A 2344-nucleotide genomic window follows, 5' to 3' on the forward strand; every position below is an offset into this window, starting at 1 on the left:
ATGAAATAAATGTGTTATGAAACTTATTAGGAAAAATCATAATAAAGCATAAGAGAAGTGTCAGGAAGAATAGAAGTACTCAAATGTCCCACTGTTCACGATAGGAGTGAATCTAGCCTATCTAATACTGAAACGTGTTGTAAAACAGCCAGTGATTTCTACCACTTATTGTTTTCCCAATCATTTTTGTTAACCATAGAAGGATATCTAGGCTGGGCACAGTGGCTCATGCCTGTAATCCTAGCACTTTGGGGGGCTGAGGTGGGCAGATCACCTGAGGTCAAGGACTGTATTTTCCTTTCTTCTTTGGATTTTCTGCATTGCTTAAATTTTCATAATAATTATGAATTGTTTCTTCAAAAATAATGAAGTAGTTATTATTAAAGGAAAATAAGCGTGGTCCCAGGTAGTGAAAAGTTGGGTGGGGAGGGAGAGAGCTGTACACCCCAATAGTCAGTTTAAACAGCTCTCCTACAGACACAGAGCTAATCTGAAAGGCAGAGAAGCCACTTCCTGACTTTGTGTGATTTGAAGGCACAAGAAGGTTATCAGTCCATCCAAAATGATCATTCCTTCAAATGATTAACTATGAGCACGTCAAGGTGAACTCATTGAAAAAAATCCCCTTCCAACCTGTTAGTGGCTGAAAGACTGCAAAGAATGCAAACAGGGGCAAGGCAAACTGTTACCTTTCGGCTAGGGCAGACCAGTTTACAACTGAGAAGCAGGTGAGGGTCTTTGCTGGGTGTGCAGGGTGACCAGCATGGATAGATCCCCTCACCCTGATCTGTAGAACCCTCACTTTTGATCTATAGGAGGCTGGCCCCTTGCCACCTGAACATACCTTTTGCATCAGTTCTTCCACACCTTTGCCTTGGCTTATTACAAAGGGTGTGTCCTACAGTTTCAACAGGGGTAAGACCAGCTGGATATGGAGGAAAGTGTGAAGATGTCAGGTTGACTTTGGGGGCTCACCCATCACCCATCTCTTCACACACACTTTTCAAGGCTATGCTTTGCCCCCTCCCAGTGAAGACTCAGATATTGCCTGCTACTCCCAGGCTACAACTGGGACTCCATCGGAGTTAGCCCACTTGGCTCATGCCTGATATTTAACGTTGTCATTGCACCCTTCAGGCACCAAAATTGGAGAGTTGAGCCTATAATGTGAGCCAGGGTCCTGCCAAAGACGAAGCTGGCAAACAACTCTTGCCCAGGAAACTCTCTTAAAGGAGCCCATCTGAACCTTTATTCTTCCACCTTATCTTCCCTTGGCTCTTAACTGACTTTGGTTCTCAGACTGACCTCTGTGCTGTATGCAGTCTTTGGCTCTCTGGGTTGCTGTTTCTTGGCCAATTTTTCTTCTGCCTACTATCTTGGCTTGTTTCCATCCTCATCCTCCCTGTGCCACAGGCCTCTCGCCGTCAGCTGACCCTGGGATTGCTTTTCCTAACTCAGTCAGGGTACCAATTACAGCTGTCATGGATCAGGATGAGGAAATCTATCCATGCTGGTCACTCTGCACACCCAGCAAAGACCCTCACCTGCTTCTCAGTTGTAAACTGGTCTGCCCTAGCCGAAAGGTAACAGTTTGCCCAGCCCCTGTTTGCACAGCAGTAGAATGGAAATTGCGCTGAGTCCTGTGAAGCTGGCTGACTCACGCTGAAACTCGAGATTTATTTCCAATTAGTGCGATGTGTAGTAGAAGGTGCTCCTCAAGCAGCCTTGCAACACTCCCATTGTGTCCACAGAGTTCTCAAAGATTGTGTTTGGCAGCACCACGACACAGTGGGCCAAAAAGGGAGAAGGGATTAATATCAAGCAATAGAAATTCATTTAAAAGCCAATATTAGTCACTCAAGTGTACATCCGAAGACTACAAAAGCCAAGTATGCATACTGCTTCACTAATGTGAAACTTGGAACAAAGATGAGAAAAACCAGGCATGCACAGGGTCAGACTAGGAATAAAGAGCCACCTGTGAAATGTAATAAGTGGTGGTCTCCTTCTGAAAAAGAGGCACGATGCTTCCATTAAAGGAAGTCGAGGACTAAAGAGATGCTCTGAGCACAGCTTGTCATCACCACTTGTAAAGACCACTGGACAAACACTGTGCCAACCTACCTAACAGGTGTATGTAGAAAGCACCATGGAGATATGATTAGCAGGTGGAAGAGAGCGAGTACTGTGGCAGGAATGTTCTGAGCATGGATGTGCATCACACACAGCTCCTCCACTCACGGATGCTGTGGCCTTGGCCAATCACACAAACTCTCAGGGTCTCAGTGTTTGTCTGTAAAATGCGTGTTCGGTCAGCACCATTCACTTGGCCCCAGGCCACAGG

The sequence above is a fragment of the Homo sapiens genome, chromosome 18 (assembly GCF_000001405.40).
Source record: "Homo sapiens chromosome 18, GRCh38.p14 Primary Assembly".
NCBI lineage: Eukaryota > Metazoa > Chordata > Mammalia > Primates > Hominidae > Homo > Homo sapiens.